We start from the raw sequence: 19,977 nt of genomic DNA, 5'->3' as shown, positions 1-19,977 counted from the left end.
CACTGGTTATGACATGCTCTTGTTTCAACATATTAATATAAGGAAATTTAATTGAATAGAACAGTATTTCCTGGTTCAGAATCCTCTGCATTAGCTGTTCCAGAAAGATGCTGCTCTCTTCAAGTAGAAAGCAAACTTTTGTCACTGCCATCTAAATATATTACTTTCACATATATGCTTTCTAAAACATGGATAAATGAGAACAAATCTAGATCCAAGAGTTCTCCAGCTATTGTAAAGAACCATCTGCATTGGAATTATCTTGCGTGCTATTTAAAAATGAGGATTCCATTTCTATTCAAAGAAGAAAATCAAATAAACAGGTAATAGATAGAGACTGAGATAAACTTTGCAGTGTTGATGACCAATAAAAGATTAATATGTAATACATGCAAATAATTCTCCCAAATCCACCATAAAAAGACAGAAGGTGCAAAAGAAAACACAGTAACACAAAAAACAGGCAAGCAATATGAATAAATCGTTCACTGTTTGATCACTAGTTGCCTAGTGCAAAGCTTGGCAGAAAATAGTCGCTTAGATAATACTGAGTGAATGGAGGGGGTCACACAAATGACCAACAATTATGTGAAAAGATGGTAAACATCACCAGTAATTGAAATGGTGAAATGTAAAGCAACACATGTGCTGCGTTAGTATTACTAGGAGGAAAATGGAAAGTCAACTAATTTCAAATGGTGGAGGTTGGGGGAACAGCAACCCTTAATATATAGTCATTGGGAATTAAAACTGCTGTGGCCATTTTGGAAGTCATTATCAAAGTATTTAGTACAATTGAGGATTCTTATGATTGAGTAACTCTATGCCTGGGGGAAATATTTAAAAAGAAATAAACTTCTGCCAGGAGCACAAAGAGCTATGAATTATCTTGTTCAGTTAGAAAAAAAAAAAAACAGAGAAGTAATCTGTGGTAACAGAGATAGAGACAACATAGATGTCCATCTATAGCATTTCAATTTCATGCTAGCTATTGGTGCCACATAGTTTTCTGAGATCTAGAGTTGGGCATAATATGTGCAAGAATACACACAGAGCAAAAGTAAAATTGGGAGCCTGCTTAACATAAATCTGAACATTAAATGTTATACTGTTAAATGAGTGTTATATCTTCCTGCAGTGACAAGTACACCTTTAAAACAACCAAATGGAAAATGATGTGTATTCATCTGTCAAGGCTTTAGTGTTTATTTCATACAGACTGTGAGGTGGTTAGGGAAAGAGAAGGAAGTTGGTTCAGCCACATCTGGAATTGAGCTCAGTTTGGATTTTGTTGTTGCTATGGTTACTTTCATTGTACCACAAACTTCAAATTCCTCCAGCAGTGAGTCTGCTGCTACCTCTTGCTTAGTGTGAATCCTAGAGTGCTGGAGAGTTTTGTCAATATGCTTGCTTCACCCTCAACTTTCAAAGGATCATGAATAGTTCTGTTAATTCTGTAGGAGTCTCTCTCTATGATCATACAACTTTCAGCAGTAGACTTCTGTGTCTGGTCATTCAGAGTTAGGCTCATGATATAGGAGGAGACTTGGTTCTCCTAATCAAATATAGGCCTTACATTTCTTTAAAAATGATTGTTTAGGCTGGGCGCGGTGGCTCACGCCTGTAATCCCAGCACTTTGGGAGGCTGAGGCGGGTGGATCACGAGATCAGTAGATCGAGACCATCCTGGCTAACACGGTGAAACCCAGTCTCTACTAAAAATATAAAAAAAATTAGCCAGGCATGGTGGCAGGCAACTGTAGTCCCAGTTACTTGGGAGGCTGAGGCAGGAGAATGGCGTGAACCCGGGAGGTGGAGCTTGCAGTGAGCTGAGATCGCGCCACTGCACTCCAGCCTGGGCGACAGAGTGAGACTCTGTCTCAAAAAAAAAAAAAAAAAAAAAAAAAAATGTTTAATTATATTTCATTTCTCGGCAAATAACACCATTTTTGAAACCCTCAACTTTCAGTTTGGCTCCCAAGAGACTTATTTACTTTTATTTTCTGAGAATTAGCCATAACAAAATAAATATATGTTTTCTTAATTTACATTATCCATATATATAGCATATTATAATATGTCTATGAGCTGAAATATGTTGGCAAAATTGTATACTAAACATTTTGTACATGTAATGCTAAATTCAAGGGACATTCTGGGTTACTTGTTTATATTCCTTCTATTGTTATTGGCTACTCAAATAACTTAGGCAGGATGCATTATAGAATGGCATAAATTTATCTCTAATAAAATTTCTAATATTCTAATAAATGATAACTTTTTAATTCTTAAGAACACTGATAGACTAGAAACTTCAGATATCTGAGCCTTGAGAGAGTTTTTGGGTACCAAGTTATAAGTCTGTGAATATTGGCAAATGAAGGAGAAGCGTGACCAGTTTGGACAGCAATATTTGTGCTTCTCTTGGTCACACAATGATTTTTACTAAAGTGCATAGAAAGCATAAACTTGAAGCCCAGAAAAAGAAGCAAAAATAAAACTAAAAACAACAAACCTCATAGGACACAATTGTATCATTAACATGAATTGATGATATTTTTGGCCATTCACTTGATCTATACTGATTCAACTAGAGTATGGAAATAGTTTGCTGAGATTAAAGAAAGTCAGAGCAAGTACAGAATAGTGTCCTTACCTGGCTTCTCCTCTGATCCATTAAAAACACGTTTAAGAAAAACCACACCTTTGGTCAGGCACGGTGGTTCACGTCTGTAATTCCAGCATTTTGGGAGGCTGAGTCAGGTGGACCCTTGAAGCCAGGAGTTCAAGACCAGCCGGGCCAACATGGAGAAACCCCATCTCTACTAAAAATATAAAAGTTAGCTGGCCATGGTCGCAGTGAGCCGAGATCACGCCACAGAACTCCAGCCTGGGTGACAGAGCAAGACTGTGGTCTCAAAACAAAACACACACCTTTAACAGTAACTTAATATTTTGTTTCTTACTTAATTATATCAACTCAGCGGAAGTCTTATTAGAAATGTTACCCTTAAATTACAGAAGATGAATGAAGTCAACCTGATGAACAAAATTAGTAGAGTCAAAATCAGAGACAGCCTTAAATGAAATGTCATGAGACACTTGATTCGTCTCTACACAATGAATGGATTTTTGACTATTTCCAATTGTTTCACCATCTCTTAAATGCCATGTACCACATGTTCTCTATTCTTAAAGTACATGGTGAGAAGATGAGACTCCAGTGCAGAGCTCTTTTCCAAGTGGTTGAGAAGACAGTGCTCACAATTATCCATCCATTCAAATGTAGAAAAATATGAGTTAGAAGTTGTTGCTTTATTGTTTACTAATTCATTGTTTTGAAAATTATAAATCCTTGTAGAGATATAATACATTAATATTAAATTCTACAAAATGTTGAGCTTTCACCTTCTAAACAAGAATCATACATGGGCTTAAGGGAAAAAGAACAACAAAAATACTTCAGGAAATAATTATGTTGTTTCAAAATACTATATATATGTATATATACCAACATTGATTGAAAATATATACTTTCCTAGAATCAGATGCAGACGTGCAAATAATTTTTATATTTAAGATAATATTAATGGTATCATCCACCTATAAATTAACAATTGTTTCTTTCTTCTTACTATCTATGATCTTTGTTTCTTCTCCAAATTTCAGTGATCTATTTTCAGAGACAATTTCATTCAGCAATATCTCTGCATTTATAATTATGTTTTGTTTTGCTTTATTTTAATTAATATGAAATAAAGGTTAGACTGAATAAAAGTAAGACAAGATTGGTTATTAGTTTTAAAATGCCAGATAACAATGGTCAAGTTTTCTTTTTGCCAATCTTAACAAATCTTTTCTCTGTGTAAGCAGGAATCAAATCTGCATGTTATTTTATCAACTGGATTTACATTATCTGCAAAGAGTTAATGTTTTTTTTTGTCAGAAACAATGTTAAAGTTCAAAATTCTATCCATGCACAGAAGCAACAAGTTGTGTTTGATTGAAATGTAGTTCATCATCCATTTTAAGTGTAATTGTTAATGTTATAATTAACATATAGTTATTGAAAAATAGGAAACAGAAACAAAATAATACATCCAGGGATTGCCAAGAACTTAACTGAAGGACACACACACACATACACACACACTCAAAAGATTAGTAAAAATAAAATATGATTATATTTAGATAAACACAGCCAAAATGGCAAAAACAGGTATTACAATGAAATATGATAGTTTTATATATATATAATATATATATGCCTGAATATTTACATAAAATGTAACATGAGATTTCATTAGAGTTAAGGAAGAAGTTCAGGATTAATCTACCGTAATGGAAAAATAAAGCAGAATCAGATAGCGCTGACTGAATAAGAGCATTTCTAATAGAAAATAAATTCTATCTTGATGTGATTTTTGATATGATATTTTCTGCCAGTCAAGACTCTCAAAGTGGCATATTGATTTTTGTCCAAGAAAGATATATACTGCATTTATATTTTCATTGTGACATTTTTAAACACACATATAAATACCAAAGTACATCCTCTTTCCTAAGAAGTATTATATTTGATCAACTCTACTGTAATTTATCAAGACCTGTATAGCAAAGTAGAAATTTAGACATCACCATTCAAATGTTCTTAAAATGATAATTTTCTGTATATTTTCCTCTTGATCTCTTAGTCACATTTCTGCTAATGGGAATGTGGCGGTTGAAGAGCACAAAATAATAATAATAAAAAAAAAACAGGAAAACTTAAGCCTGACATTTATAAAATCCCCAGCCAGTTATTTTGTGGATATTGACAAACTGATTCTAAATTGTATGTGGAAAAGCAAAAGACCCAGAGGAGACAACGGTACACTGAAGGAGAAGAAAAAATAGGAGAACTTACATTAGCTGACTTCAGGACTAATAGCTAAGTCAGAATAATCAAGACAGTGTAGTATTGGTAAAATGATAGACATACAGGTAGAATAGAGAGCTCTGAAATAGATTCATACAAATATAGTCAACTGATCCGTGACAAAAATATGTGAATGTGCTTCAGTAGAGAAAGTATAGACTTTTAAAAAGTAGTGTTGGAACAAACATTCACATGCAAACAAAAACAAAAACAAATCTAGACACAGATCTTACATCTTTCATAAAAATTAACTTTAGTGGACCATAAACCTAAATATAGAACAAAACTATTACACTTTTAGAAGATAACATAGGAGAAAATCTAGGTGATCTTGGATTTGGCAATGACTTCTTAGCTACAACACCAAAAGCAAAATCCATAAAATAAAAAATATATATAGTTGAGCTTTATTTAAATTAAAAACTTCTGCTCTGAAAAATACAAGAGAATGAAAAGATAAGCCACAGAGTGGGAGAAAATCTTTTCAAAGGACATACCTGATAAAGGACTGGTATTCAAATGCACATAATAAACTATTTGAACTTAAAGATAAGAACACAAACGACCTAATTAACACATTAGCAAAACATGTGGCAGGCACCTGACCAAAGAAGACACATAAATGGCAAATAAGCCTATGAAAAGGTGTTCAGCAACATATGCTATTAGTGAACTGAAAATTAAAACAACAAGATACTAATACATATCTATTAGAATGGCAAAAAAAAAAAAAAAAAAACCTCCAATCACACCAAATGCTGGCAAAGAGGTGGAGTAATAGGAAGTCCTTTGCATTGCTGGTACTAATGCAAAGTAATACAGGCACTTTGGAAGACAATGTCATAGTTTCTTTCAAAACTATTTACCCAAATATGTTAAAAACTGACATCCCCACAAACACCTGTGCAAAAATGTTTATAATAATCTTTTTCATAATTTCCCAAACCTGGAAGTAACCAATATGTCCTTCACTAAGTGAATGGATAAACACAGTGTTGTATATCCATATAGTAAAATATTATTTAATGATAAAAAGAAATGGGCTATCAAGCCATGAAAATACAAAAAAGGGCTGGGCGCGGTGGCTCACGCCTGTAATCCCAGCACTTTGGGAGGCCGAGGCGGGCGGATGACCTGAGGTCAGGAGTTTGAGACCAGCCTCAACATGGAGAAACCCCATCTCTACTAAAAATACAAAATTAGCCGGGAGTGGTGCTGCATGCCTGTAGTCCCAGCTACTCGGGAGGCTGAGGCAGGAGAATTGCTTGAACCTGGGAGGCAGAGGTTGCGGTGAGCCGAGACCGCGCCATTGCACTCCAGCCTGGGCAACAAGAGCGAAACTCTGTCTCAAAAAAAGAAAAAAAATGAAAATACAAAAAGGAACCTCAAGTACATATTGTTAAGTGAAAGAAACTGAAAATGCTGTGTAGTACTTGATTTTAACCATATGACATTCTGGGTGGGAACGGCCAAACTATGGAGATATTAAAGGATCTGCAGTTATCAAGGGCTTTCAATGGAGTTAGAAAAGGATGAATAGATGGAACACAGGGAAGTTTTAGGGCAGTAAAACTATTGTGTATGATACTATAAGAGTAGATACATGTTATTAAACATTTGTCAAAACACATACTATATGCAAGAGTGAACTCTGATGTCACTATGGAGTTTAATTATAATGTATCAATATTAGCGCATCCATTATAATCAATGTATCACAAAAACTAAATGTGTTAATAACAAGATAAATTGCTAATTGCTGGGGGTCAGAGTGGACGGTGACATGGAGTGTATTGCAACTCTGTACTTTTCTCTCAATTTTCCTGTAAACCTAAAAACTTCTCAAAAATAGAGTTTATTAATATTTTTAAATTGAAATTTATAATATCAATGATTTCTCACAATTGGTAAGGTACAGACTTAATCTCTCCCCACATGTTTTTCCAAACACATTTCTGGCATTGGCTTGCTTCTTTACTCACTCTGTCCCCAGGTAATGGAGGATGATTTAACTAATTGGTAAAACTGAGAAGAATAACTTAGCTTCATTTTTTTTCCTTGCTTGGAATTACATTACTCTTCCAGAGTGTTCCCTTCATCAACACATATCTGGTGGGTACTGGTTCAATACTGCCTTCTACTGGCTAAGACCTTCTACTTCTGGCATTCAGTAGGTAGCACTTGTGGATTTTACGCTAAGCTGCACCCATCACTTTTGATTTTATCATCTATAAGGTGATATCTTGGTCCTTGAATAGCAATGTCTTTATTTTTCAGTTTGTTCAGAAATTAGGCAGAGGGATATAGGTGCAATTTATTAGGGGACATGTAAAACTCCTCAGAAGGCATTCCTGATAAAGCAAAACTGTTTTTTCCTAAGGCAAGTATTCCTTCTACACTTTGGAGTAAAAGTCATAATTCACTATTTTCTAAAAATTTAGTATTAGAAAAATGTGAGAAAGCATCTAAAGAATTAAACATTTTCCATGGTAGAAGTGGAAAACAAAGCATAAAACCAAAAACAAAACCTGTTGTTCCAAATCCGGTGATAAGTAATGCTCACAGACAAGAGCAAAAGATTTAACTATCCTGGACTGCAGGGCTTTGTATAACATGAATCATGACATTTAAAGATTATTTTAGATTGTATTCTAGTATGCTTATTTTATTCATAATCTTATTTTTAATTTTTTAGTAATGTCCCTGAGTCACAATATTAATAATCTTATTGAAAACCCTACCTCATTGCTATAGAAGTGTTTTCTTACCACATTTTTCCTTTTCTTTGATCAAATACTCTAATATGGCATTTCAATTTCCATTACAAAAAGAACCAAAGTAATTTTACTTGCATTTGACAATTAGCCAAATGCTTTTAAGTAATAGTCTGCTTTAAAATCTAGTAGTGAGCATCAATGAATATCAGTGCATTCTTTATTCCTAGGACCCAGAAGAAACTACCAAATTAAGTTCTATGCTAAAAGGAAAGAATATTAACTGGTATCTCAGGATACAAGAAGAATTAAATATTTAACTACACAATGTGTGATCTCTTTTTACAGTAATTCTTAATGACAGTAATTTATGTCTGATGTACATTGGCAGTCATCTAATTTTCTTTTTTGTGCTTTTTGTTTATCTGCCTGAATGAGAACCACCTTTTATGATCAAGTGAATATATGCCATGAAAGAATGTTCCTAAAATAGATTCAAGGTGTAGCATACTGTTGTTCAAACAACTTTCCAGTTAATTTCTACATATCCAGAGGGGAAAAAAAACAGCAATGGTTTTCTATCCAGGAACCATTAAACATAGGAGCTTAAAATGCCTATTTTTTAATACTAAAACTTCTTATTATCAAATTATCTTTCTTAACTATCAGATGTTAAGTCCCAAGTATGTGCTTTCAATAGCACTGAAGGCGTAACCCTGTGAGCAAGGTTGCTGGTCCTCCAATAAGTTCTCAGAGCACAAATCTCTGTTTCTTCAACTCAGGTTTGACTTACATTATGTGCTTCCTAGCTCTTCTTCATCAACCTCTTTATCAGCCCCAAACATACCAGCTATGCCAACCTATTTGAATTTTCCCTAAAATGTTTTCAGCTTCATTGCTCTCATGCGAGTGCTAGTAACTCAAAGGTACATTGCCTGATAGGTAACACATAATAAAGCAATTATGTTTCATTTATCCTTCAGCTCAACCTTCCTCATAGAAAAAATGCCTGAGTAAAAGTTAAATCTGAAATTTTCTGATATCAGAAAATAAATGGTAGTTAAGTTAGTGTAGATATTACAGATAATCCACTTTGGGCAAATATACGTAACACCCTGAAAATTGTGTGTAGTTTGTTTACTGTTACAGATCATATAAACGTTCCCAGAAAGCTTGATACTCATTAGCAAATGATTTTGCACAGTTAACACTTCTTCTATAATGGCAAAAACTCTAAATTTAGCTACTTGAATACTAGATTTCCCAAAGCAGATATAACCACATTGTTTTAGAGCTCACAATTGCATGCACTAGGATTCTAAAGAACTCAGGCTAAATTTTGAATGTAGATCTCCATTTCACAGTCGATAGGGGAACTGAAATAGCCTCTATGGTTCTGAATAGCTCCTAGGATAGGTTTAAAAAATATTTCCCGGAAACTAAATGCACAAATGTAAACAGTAGATTATGGCAATGGCCTCCAAAGAGCCTTTCTTGGCACAGCACTTAAAAACTTACAGGTGAACATATTGTTAGTTTCCACTCCATGACCAACTCCATTTAGCAACAATACATGTTCATTTTTCTATAAATCTGGTCCCTGTGATGGTAAATCCAGCACAGGAAATGACTCTCAGCAGGAATACCTGTAACTACAAAAAACAGGATATCTTGCCACAACTCAGATCAGACAAAATTACATTGGGGAAATTGCAAGGTCAGTGTGCAAGTAAAACTAAATCTTTAGTTTCATCTCTCACTTCCTATTTGCCAGCTTTCATAATCATTTCTTTATCTGTTACCCAGTACTTAGTTAATTTTTTATTTTGGCACACATAGTAGGGACTCAATAAATACTGTTGACTAAAAGTCAGTTCCTGCTCCTTGTCTTGGGCTATGATAAATTCAGTCTTTACCTATACTTTTGTTTTCTCTTGACTCTGATATAGTATTCCTGTCATAAGCTTGTTATTTTCTAGAATATTAATATTCTCTAATCCAGTCTTCTCTAATAGTTTAAATCTTTTCCAGCCGTAATTACTTTCCTCCACACTTGACTGACTGATCTCATTTCACCATTCTTGTAGCCTCATAAATTTCACCTAGGCCTTACATAGGAATATTTATTTGATCTTCTGGAAAGCATTTATAGGCCATTTTAGATTATCTTCTCAGTTTAATAAGAATGCTGCCTGACAAGAAAAGAAGAATATGCACTACAAAAAAAGCACAGGGAACCTAGTGTCTACCACAGTGTCAGTCATAAGACTTCATTAAATTACTTATTCATTCACTTCTTCTGCTGTCACATATTAACTAAGAAACTACTATCTCTTAATCATACTGATGAGTGCTTCATTCAAGAAATATATAAATTACTAGAATGTCACCCGTTCTCTCTGGTAGCTCAATCTGAAAGAGACAAATACGTCTACAAATAACTACAATGTGTTAAGTTCTATAATACAGATTTGCAAAAGTTCTGTGGCAACATATATGTTCCCTCTTTGAAGAAATGAAAGGAGGCATCTCAAAGGAAATGGAATTTAGTTGAGCTGAAGGATAAGAATTAGATTGCACTGTATTAAAAGTTGGTGAAGGGCTTCCCAGGCAAAGAAAGAGCATGTGCAAAGAGCATGGCACTCATGAGAATGATTTTTTCAGAAAAAAGGAAAACAATATTTGTAGCCATTGGATGAGGTAAAAGGGAGGTAACATTTAGAGAAAAGGCAAAAAAAAAAAAAGTCAGATTTTCACATTATTTCAGAGAGCCTATATAGAAAAGAACAAAATCTGGACTTTGTGCTGTGGATTATAGATAGGCAATATCAGTTGTTTTGCAGTTTTCATTTGTAGAAAAATGACCTGAATCCTGCTACATAAGATAATTTAAATACAGAAGGGATTTTTTTTTAGAAAAAAAAATGATAAAACAATTTTGGTCTTTTCCTAGCAGGAGGATTATTGACAAATGTCAAGTTTCAAAATTTGCCCTCAGAATATTTTTATTGTGCAAAGAAAAATAATGGTGACTAAGTAGCAATAAGCAATTTTTATTAGAAACCGTTGTAAAGAAAATGTGAACAGAAGCAGAAAATAGGGAAAGGGGCAACAAGAGATAATGGATGCAATGTCAAGAAGAAAGAAGGAAGAAAGTTCAAAATGATTAAAGGAGATGTAACTATTGTTCATGCCCTGATTTTTACTAGTTTTTTTTCTATCCTTGAATCTGCAATGTTTCTAAGCAAAGACTCAAGTATTTATATGGCAAAGGTAACAGCCTCCAAAATGTTTAAGGATAGATTTTATGTCTTCTTCTCTTTACTTCATGTCATTCTACCACCAATAAATATAATAGTTTTATTTATTTTATTAATATAGTTATTATTATAATTACTGGGACTAACTGAAGTGCTACTATATGCCAGGCAAGCTTCTTTACACACTTTATTTCTGTTTATTTTAAAAATAATATTCCAAGTTAGTTTTCATGCTCCTTAATTTCTTATCTAATTGATTATCAAGTGGTCTGGGTAAAATCTGAAATATGTCTAATGATACCTCTCCTTTCAAGTGACACTGTCATTTTCCTTGTTTAGGCCTTAATGTCTTTTTCTTATAAACTATTAAAGCAACTTTATAAATAGTTTTTCTGCTAATAATTTCTTTCTTTCCCTCCAGTCTGCATTCCACAGAGCTATGTTACTATTTTCATAACAAAAACTTGACCACTCCTTTGATTGACCTATATTAAGGATGTTACTAAGCCTAACCAGCCTGTGTTAATAAAAAATATTAACCATCAGGAAAGAATTCACAGACCCTTTGAAAGAAGTGGTTTGCCACTGCAAACTCCATGTGACAGCCAAAAAACTGTGAGTTCCCAAAGCGTGAGGGGGAAAAAGTGTGCCTCTGAACACACATCCCCACTGGGGAACCTGAAAATCTAGATCACAGCAGAAAGATTCAACCTTACCTAGAACTGAAATTGTTTTAGGGAGCTGAGAGAAATATAAAAGTAGAAGAAGCAGTGGGAAGAGCCCTGTGGGCACTCCAGGTCCCCAGCTCAAGCCCAGGGAACCATTCCTGGTTTTATCTCACACGGGCCCTTGGGGAGGGCAGCCAGTGGAATTGGGGAAAGGCCTCAGAATTAAAGAAACTTCTAGCTGAACTTTGTAATAATTTTGACAGAGCATGAATTTTTTTGGGCAGAATCCTGGGGCATGGGGGTGTGGGGAAAATGAGAAGTGCAGACACAAGTGCAAAAGCTGCACCCATGGTGCAGGCAGGCAAGGAGGGGTGAGGCCTGAGAGCCCTGCTTGCTGTATTAGCTGGGAGGCTTGTAGCCTGTGGCAAGATGTTAGCCCTTTTCACCAGCGGCCTGGGTATAACCTGAATATAAACTTGGTGCTGCTGGTGGGGCACAGTGGGAGTGAGAATGGCCTTGCTGGCTGCATGGGACCTGGTTGAGGCCTGTCACTGCTGGCATTCGCCCACTTCCCTGGCAACCTGTATGATGCCACAGTGGCAGCCATAATCCAAATGGGAACATATCTCCATTGGCCTGAGAACCATACCCCCATCCTCTGTAGTGGCCATAGCAAGGCCTGCCCAAGAAAAGCCTGAGCTCAGACACACCTAACCCAGCCCCCACCAGATGGTTTTTCTCTCCCTACCCTGGTAGCTGAAGATAAAAGACATGAACTGTGGGGAGCTCTGTAGCACCACCCATTTTCTGAGAAACTAGAATACTTATCATAGGCAACATAGGGCAAGCTTATATCTCCCTTCTGCTACTGCAGCTTGAGCTCTCTTGAAAGCACCACCTCCTGGCTGGAGGCCAACCAACTCAAGCCATTATAGCAACTCATAACAAGACTATATCGTGCTCCATCAAAAAAGAAAACAACAGCCAATTCCACCACCTATAACACCCTAGCTAACCAGAGGACCTGAGTCTGTCACATGAAAAATTCACTGTTAGCATAACCAACATCTGAGAAAACCAGTGCATTAAACAAAACTACAACCAAGGACTCCCACAGAGTCAACCTCATTCCCCTGCCACCTCCATTGGAGCAGGGGCTGGTATCCAAGGCTGGGAAACCTAAAGATGAATCACATCACAGGACTCTGCAAACATTCCCCAGCAACATCCTGGAGCCTGCTAGCCCTGCAAAGTAGCTAGACATGGAAGGGCATTACCAATCACTGCAGTCGGGATCTCAGGAAGCCCCATACTTAGGGGAACAGGGATAGCACAACATCACATCACATCACAAAAAACTGTGAGTTCCTAAAGTGTGAAGGGGAAAAAGTGTGCCTCTGAACACACATCCCCACTGGGCAACCTGAAAATCTAGATCACAGCAGAAGGATTCAACCTTACCTAGAACTGAAATTGTTTTAGGGAGCTGAGAGAAATATAAAAAGTAGAAGAAGCAGTGGGAAGAGCCCTGTAGGCACTCCAGGTCCCCAGCTCAAGCCATGTGACAAAATGTGTCTCACGTGACAAAAGAATATGAACAGCAGCCCTTGATTTCCAGATCCTTCCACTGAAACACTCTACCCACATGAGAAGGAATCAAAAAAGTAATTCTGGTAATATGAAAAAACAAGTTTCTATAACGCTCCCAAAAGATCACTCCGGCTCTCCAGCAATGGATCCAAACCAAGAATAAAACTCTGAAATGCCAGATAAAGAATTCAGAAGGTTAATTATTAAGCTACTCAAGCAGGTACCAGAGAAAGGTGAAAATGAAGTTAAATACATTAAAAAATATAGGATATGCATTTTAAAAAGTCTCCAGAGAAATAGATATCATGAAGAAAAGACAATCACAACTTCTGGAAATGAAAGATATACTTAGAGAAATGCAAAATACATTGGAAAGTTTTAACAACAGAATCAAAAAAGGAGAAGAAGGAACTTCAGAGCTCAAAGACAAGGCTTTCAAATTAATCAAACAAAGAAAAGGAAAAAGAATTTAAAAATAAAGCCCACAAGAAGTATGGGATTATGCTAAATAACTAAACATATGAATAATTGCTGTTCTTGAGAAAGAAGAGAAATCTTAAAAGTTTGAGAAATATATTTCAGGAAATAATTGAGGAAAACTTCCCTGGTCTTGCTAGAAATCTAGACATCCAAATACAAGAAGGACAAAGAACACCTGGGAAATTCATCTCAAAAAAGATAATCATCTAGACACATAGTCATCAGGTTATCTAGTCAAGACAAAAGAAAGAATCTTAAGAGCTATGAGGCAAAAGCATGAGGTAACCTATAAAGTAAAACTGATAAGATTAATAGCAAATTTCTCAGCAGAACACTACAAGCCAGAAAGGATTGGGGTCTTATCTTAGACCTTCAAACAAAATATTTATCAGCCAAAAAGTTTGTATTCAATGAAACTGAGCTTTATAAATGAAGGAGAGATAAAGCCTTTTTAAGACAAATAAATGCTGAGAGAATTTGCCACTACCAAGCCAGCACTACAAGAAATGCTAAAATGAGTTCAAATCTTGAAACAAAACTTCTAAATACACCGAAATAGTACCTCCTTAAGGAATAAATCTCACAGGGCCTCTAAAACAATAACACAATAAAAAAAAAACCAAGGTATTCAGGCAACAACTGGCATGATGAATACAACAGTACCTCCCATCTCAATACTAACATTGAATGTAAATGGCCTAAATGTGCCACTTAAAAGATACAGAATGGAAGAATGGATAAAAATACACCAACCAAGTATTTGCTTTCTTCAAGAGAATAATCTAACACATAAGGACTCACATAAAATTAAAGAGGTGGAAAAAGATATTCCATGCAAATGACACCAAAAGTGAGGAGTATTTATTTTTATATCAGACAAAATAAACTTTAATGCAACAACAGTTAAAAAAGACAAAGAGGGACATTGTATAATAATAAAATAACTAGTCCAACAGGAAAATATCACAATCTTAAATATTTATGCACCAAACACTGGAGTTCCCAAATTTATAAAAGCATTACTACTAGACCTAAGGAATGAGATAGAAGGCAACACAATAAGAGTGGAGGACTTCAGTACTGCACTGACAGCACTAGACAGGTCATCAAGAGAGAAAGTCAACAAATAATAAATGGACTTAAACGATACCTTTGAATAAATGGACACAACAGATATTTACAGAACATTCTCCCCAACAACTGCAGAATATCCATTCTTTTCATCAGAAAATGGAACATTCTCCAAGATAGGACATATGATAGGACATAAAACAAGGCTCAAGAAATTGAAGAAAATCAAAATTATATCAAGTCCTCTTTCAGATCACAGTGGAATAAAATTGGAAATTAACTCCAAAAGGAAACATTCCCCTACAAATACATGGAAATGAAGTAACCTGCTCCCGAATGATCATTGGGTAAACAGTAAAATCAAGATGGAAATTTAAAAAGTCTTTGAATTGAACAATAATAGTAACACAACTTATCAAAACTTCTGGGATAGAGCAAAAGCAGTACTAAGAGGAAAGTTCATAGCATTAAATGTTTCCAACAAAAAGTCTGAAAGAACACAAATAGACAATTTAAGATCACACTTCAAGGAACTAGAGAAACAAGAACAAAATAAACTCAAACCCAGCAGAAGACAATAACAAAGCTAAGAGCAGAACTAAATGAAGTTGAAATTAATTTAAAAATGCAAAAGACAAAACGAAAAGCTAGTTCTTTGAAAAGATAGACAATGTCAATAGGCCGTTAGCTACACTGACCAAGAAAAAATAGAGAAGATACAAATAAGCTCAATTAGGAATGAAATGGGAAATATTACAACCAATACCACAGAAATATAAAAGATCATTCAAGGTTACTATGAACAGCTTTATGTGCACAAACTATAAAACCTAGAGAACATGAATAAATTCCTGGAAATATACAACCCTCCTAGATCAAACCAGGAAGAAATAAAAACTCTGAACAGACCAAAAACAAGTAGTGAGATTGAAACAGTAATAAAAAATTGCAAACAAAATAAAGCCCAGGACCAGATAAATTCACAGCTGAATTCTATCAGATATTCAAAGCAGAATTGGTAGCAATCATACTGAAAATATCCCAAAAGATAAAGAATAAGGGATTCCTCCCTAAATTATTCTATGATGCCAGTATCACCCTAATACCAAAACCAGGAAAGAACATAACAAAGAAAGAAAACTACAGACCAATATTCCTGATGAATATAGATGTGAATACCCTCCACAAAATACTAGCTAACTGAACTCAACAATATGTCAAAAAGATAATCCACCATGATCAAGTGGTTTTAAACCAGGGGTGCAGGTTTGGTTTCACATATGTAAGTCAATAAATGTGATACACAACACAAACAAAATTAAAAGCAAATATCATATGACCATTTCAACATACACAGATAAAGCATTTGACAAAATCCAGCATTCCTTTATGATTAAAACCCTCAGCAAAATCAGAATAGAAGAGACATACCTTAAGGTGATAAAAGCCATCTATAACAAACCCACAGCCAACATTTTACTGAATGTTCCATTCTACTAGAACAAGAAAAGGATGCCCACTCTCACCACTGCTATTCAACATAGTACTGGAAGTCCTAGCCAGAGCAATCAGACAAGAGAAAGAAAGGGAATACAAATAGATAAAGAGAAAGTCAAACTGTCACTGATAATATGATTGTATACCTAGAAAATCATACTCGTCCAAAAAGCTCCTATAACTGCTAAATGAATTCAGTAAATTTTCATGATACAAAATTAACGTACACAAATCAGTAGCACTGCTATATACCAACAGCCACCAAGCTGAGAATCAAATGAAGAACTCAACCCCTTTTAATATAGCTGCAAATAAACAAAAATAAAATATGTAGGAATATTCCTAACCAAGGAGGTGAAAGACCTCTATAAGGAAAACTACAAATTACTGCTGAAATAAGTCATAGACAACACAGACAAATGGAAACACATCCCACACTCATGAACGGATAGAATCAATATTGTTAAAATGACCATACTGCAAAAAGTAATCTACAAATTCAATGCAATTCCCATCAAAATACCACCAGCATTGTTCACAGAACTAGAAAAAACAATCCTAAAATTCATATGGCATATGGACAAAAAAAAAAGCCTTAATAGCCACAGCAAGACAAAGCAATAATAACAGAACTGGAGGCATCACATTACCCAACTTCAAAAAATACTACAAGTCTATAGTTACCAAAACAACATGGTACTGGCATAAAACCAGGCACATAGATCATTGGAACAGAATAAAGATCACAGAAATAAAGCCAAATAATTACAGCCAACTGATCTTTGACTAAGCAAACAAAAACATAAAGTGGGGAAAGGACACCCTATTCAACAAATGGTGCTGGGATAATTGGCAAACCACACGTACAAGAACAAAATTGGATCCTCATCTCTCACCTTTTACAAAAATCAACTCAAGATGGACCAAAGACTTAAATCAAATACCTAAAACCATAAAATTTCTAGAAGATAACATCAGAAATCTTTTATAGACATTGGCTTAGGAAAAGAGTTTATGACCAAGCACCCAGAAACAAATGCAACAAAAGCAAAGATAGATGGGACTTAAACTAAAAAGCTTCTGCATAGCAAAAGAAATAATCAGCAGAGTAAACAGACAACCCACAGAGTGGAAGAATATATTTGCAAACTATGTATCTGACAAAGGACTAATATCCAGGATCTCTGAGGAACTCAAATAAATCAGCAAGAAAAAACAAAAAACAGAAAACAAATAATCCCATCAAAAGGTGGGCAAAGAACATGAATAGAGATTTCTCAAAAGAAGATATACAAATGGCCAACAAAAAAATGAAAAAATGCTCAACATCAGTAATGATCAGGGAAATGCCAATCAAAACCACAGTGAGATACCACCTTACTCCTGCAAGAATGACCATAATTAAAAAAATAATGAAATAACAGATGTTGGCATGGATGTGGTGAAAAGGGAACATTTTTACACTGCTGGTGGGAATGTAAACTAGTGCAATCACTATGGCAAACAGTATGGAGAGTCCTTAAAAAACTGAAAGTAGAACTGCCATTTCATCCAGCAACCCCACTACTGGGTATCTACCCAGAGGAAAAGAAGTCATTATATGAAAAAGACACTTTCACCCACATGTTTATAGCAGCACAATTTGCAATTGCAAAAATGTGGAACCAGCCTAAATGGCCATTAACCAACGAGTGGATAAAGAAAATGTGCTATACATTTGTACCATGGAATACTACTCAGCCATAAAAAGGAATGAAATAATGGCATTCACAGTAACCGGGATGGAGTTGGGGACCATTATTCTAATTGAAGCAACACAATAATTATAAACCAAACACAGGATGTTCTCACTTAGAAGTGGGAGCTATGCTATGAGGATGCAAATGAATAAGAATGATATAATGGACTCTGTGGACTCAGGGGGGAAGGTGGGAGGGGGTGAGAGATAAAAGGGTACACATTGGGTTCAGTGTACACTGCTTGGGTGATGGGTGCACCAAAATCGCAGAAATCACCACTAAAAACTCATCCATGTAACCAAACACTACCTGTTTCCCAAAAACTATTTAAATAATATTATAAATGAACCTTCATAAACATAAGTTATCTAACTCAGTCCCTCTAAATAGTTGATGCAAGAAGTCTATAACCCCAGAAAATACCTCTCACCCAATATTTTTAGAAATAGCTGTATATTGTCCAAGGGTAAAGTTATGTTTCTAGGTGCATTCCACCTTTATAAATACTTTAAATCTCCTCTATTTTAGAAGCCATTCTTTTTCACAATAAGTTAAGTAGTTAACCTAATAGCAAGTGTAAGTGGTTAGCAGAAGCAAAGCAAACCAAAGTAACTGCTAACATTTAAAAAACAGAAGTATCACCAAAGAGATTATTGTACATTTCAAATGGATAACTTCTAAAAAATGATTCTGACTGCAACCCCAATAGTTCTATCAGCTACAGCCATTATTAATGGCTACAGTTCTATCAGCTACAGCATTATTAATGCTTCTCACCATCTGAACATAACTAAACCAAAATAATATGGTTATGTATGGAAATTTGAAATCTCTACTTGAGAGCATCTACTACACAGTGTTTCCTCAACAAATATTTGTTTTGATTTTCTTCTAGAATATATATTGATTTTGGTGCAAGGCAACTACGCTTTGAAAAATATATTTGTTTTCATTTCCTGTGTAACAAATTACTACAAATTTAGTAGCTAAAAACAATACATATTTATTAGCTCACAGTTCTCTAGGTCCTAAGTCTAGTACAGCACAGCTTACTTCTGTGCTGAAAGTATTACATGGTTGAAATTAAGGTGTACATTTCAAGGGGTGGAAATCAAAGTAAAATTACATAAGGGCTCTTATATGGAGGCTCTGGGGGAAAACCACTTCCAAATTCATTCTAGTTGTTGGCAAAATTCAGTGTCTTGTGGTCATATGACGGACGTCCTTTTTTCTTGCTGGCAGCCAGCCAGGGAGCTCTCTTAGCTTCTTAAGATTGCTCACATTTCTTCTCATGTGGCCACCTCCTTCTTCAAACCGGAAATGGTGTGCTGAATCTCATTACAACTTTAAATCTTTCTGGTTTTCTTTTTTTCTGCCACCAGCCTGACAAAGCTGTCTTCTTTTAAGGGTTCATGTGATTGCATGGGGCAAACCAAATTATTTAGGATAACTGCTCTCTTTTTAGGATCCACTATGCCATGTAATATAACATTTTCAAAAGAGTCACATCTCATCATTGTGTCAGGTTCTGAGGATTAAGGTGAGATATCCCTGGGAGATCATTTTAGAAATTTTGCTTATCATATGAGGTCACATGGCAATGCTATAGGAACCTTTTACAAAATAACTCTTTATAACTAGGAAAACTGAGACATCTCTCAAGGAAGAATATATTCCTAAGAAAATAAGAAGAAACAAAATTCTCCACGATATGCTTATTTCACATTGCATGCTTCTATCAAAACATCTCATGTACCCCATAAATATATATGCCTGATGTGTACCCACAACAATTAAAAGTAAATTGAAAATCCCTTTGAAAGCCGACTTCTGATCTTATAACATGGATATCTACCATTTAGACAAAGGATTCAATTTATCCGAGTGAAAGATAACATGCTGCTTCCAATAAGCACTCATCACAGTAAGGAGGTTTGGGCTTTTGCTAAAAGAGATTATTCTTTAATTAGTGTGGGAACGTTGTAGAACCACAAACAGAAACTGAATTATATTTCAGAGCAATTCTGCGAACTAAGATAA

General features: G+C 35.2%; 1 long non-coding RNA gene across 1 annotated transcript in view, besides 1 other annotated feature; it reads right to left on the bottom strand.

The window, feature by feature from the left end:
* Window positions 1-9,278, bottom strand: part of LOC102724150 (uncharacterized) — a 52,126-nt gene extending 42,848 nt beyond the window's left edge. Inside the window, exon 1 of the long non-coding RNA XR_001755912.1 lies at window positions 9,151-9,278. This is a non-coding gene — a long non-coding RNA (uncharacterized LOC102724150). The remainder of the gene's footprint in view (window positions 1-9,150) is intronic.
* Window positions 6,203-6,448: a silencer, noted in NCBI's record as "fragment chrX:88660958-88661203 (GRCh37/hg19 assembly coordinates)". NCBI's record gives its function as "represses an EF-1alpha promoter that drives an FKBP-Casp9 reporter gene in an ReSE screen in phorbol 12-myristate 13-acetate-treated (for megakaryocytic differentiation) K562 erythroleukemia cells {active_cell/tissue: K562(+PMA)}" and the evidence as "EXISTENCE:reporter gene assay evidence [ECO:0000049][PMID:32094911]".
* Window positions 9,279-19,977: the final 10,699 nt, after the last annotated feature.

Source organism: Homo sapiens, chromosome X (assembly GCF_000001405.40).
Source record: "Homo sapiens chromosome X, GRCh38.p14 Primary Assembly".
Lineage (NCBI taxonomy): Eukaryota > Metazoa > Chordata > Mammalia > Primates > Hominidae > Homo > Homo sapiens.
The sequence above is the reverse complement of the archived record's forward strand: the minus strand, read 5'-3'. Positions and strand labels throughout refer to the sequence as shown.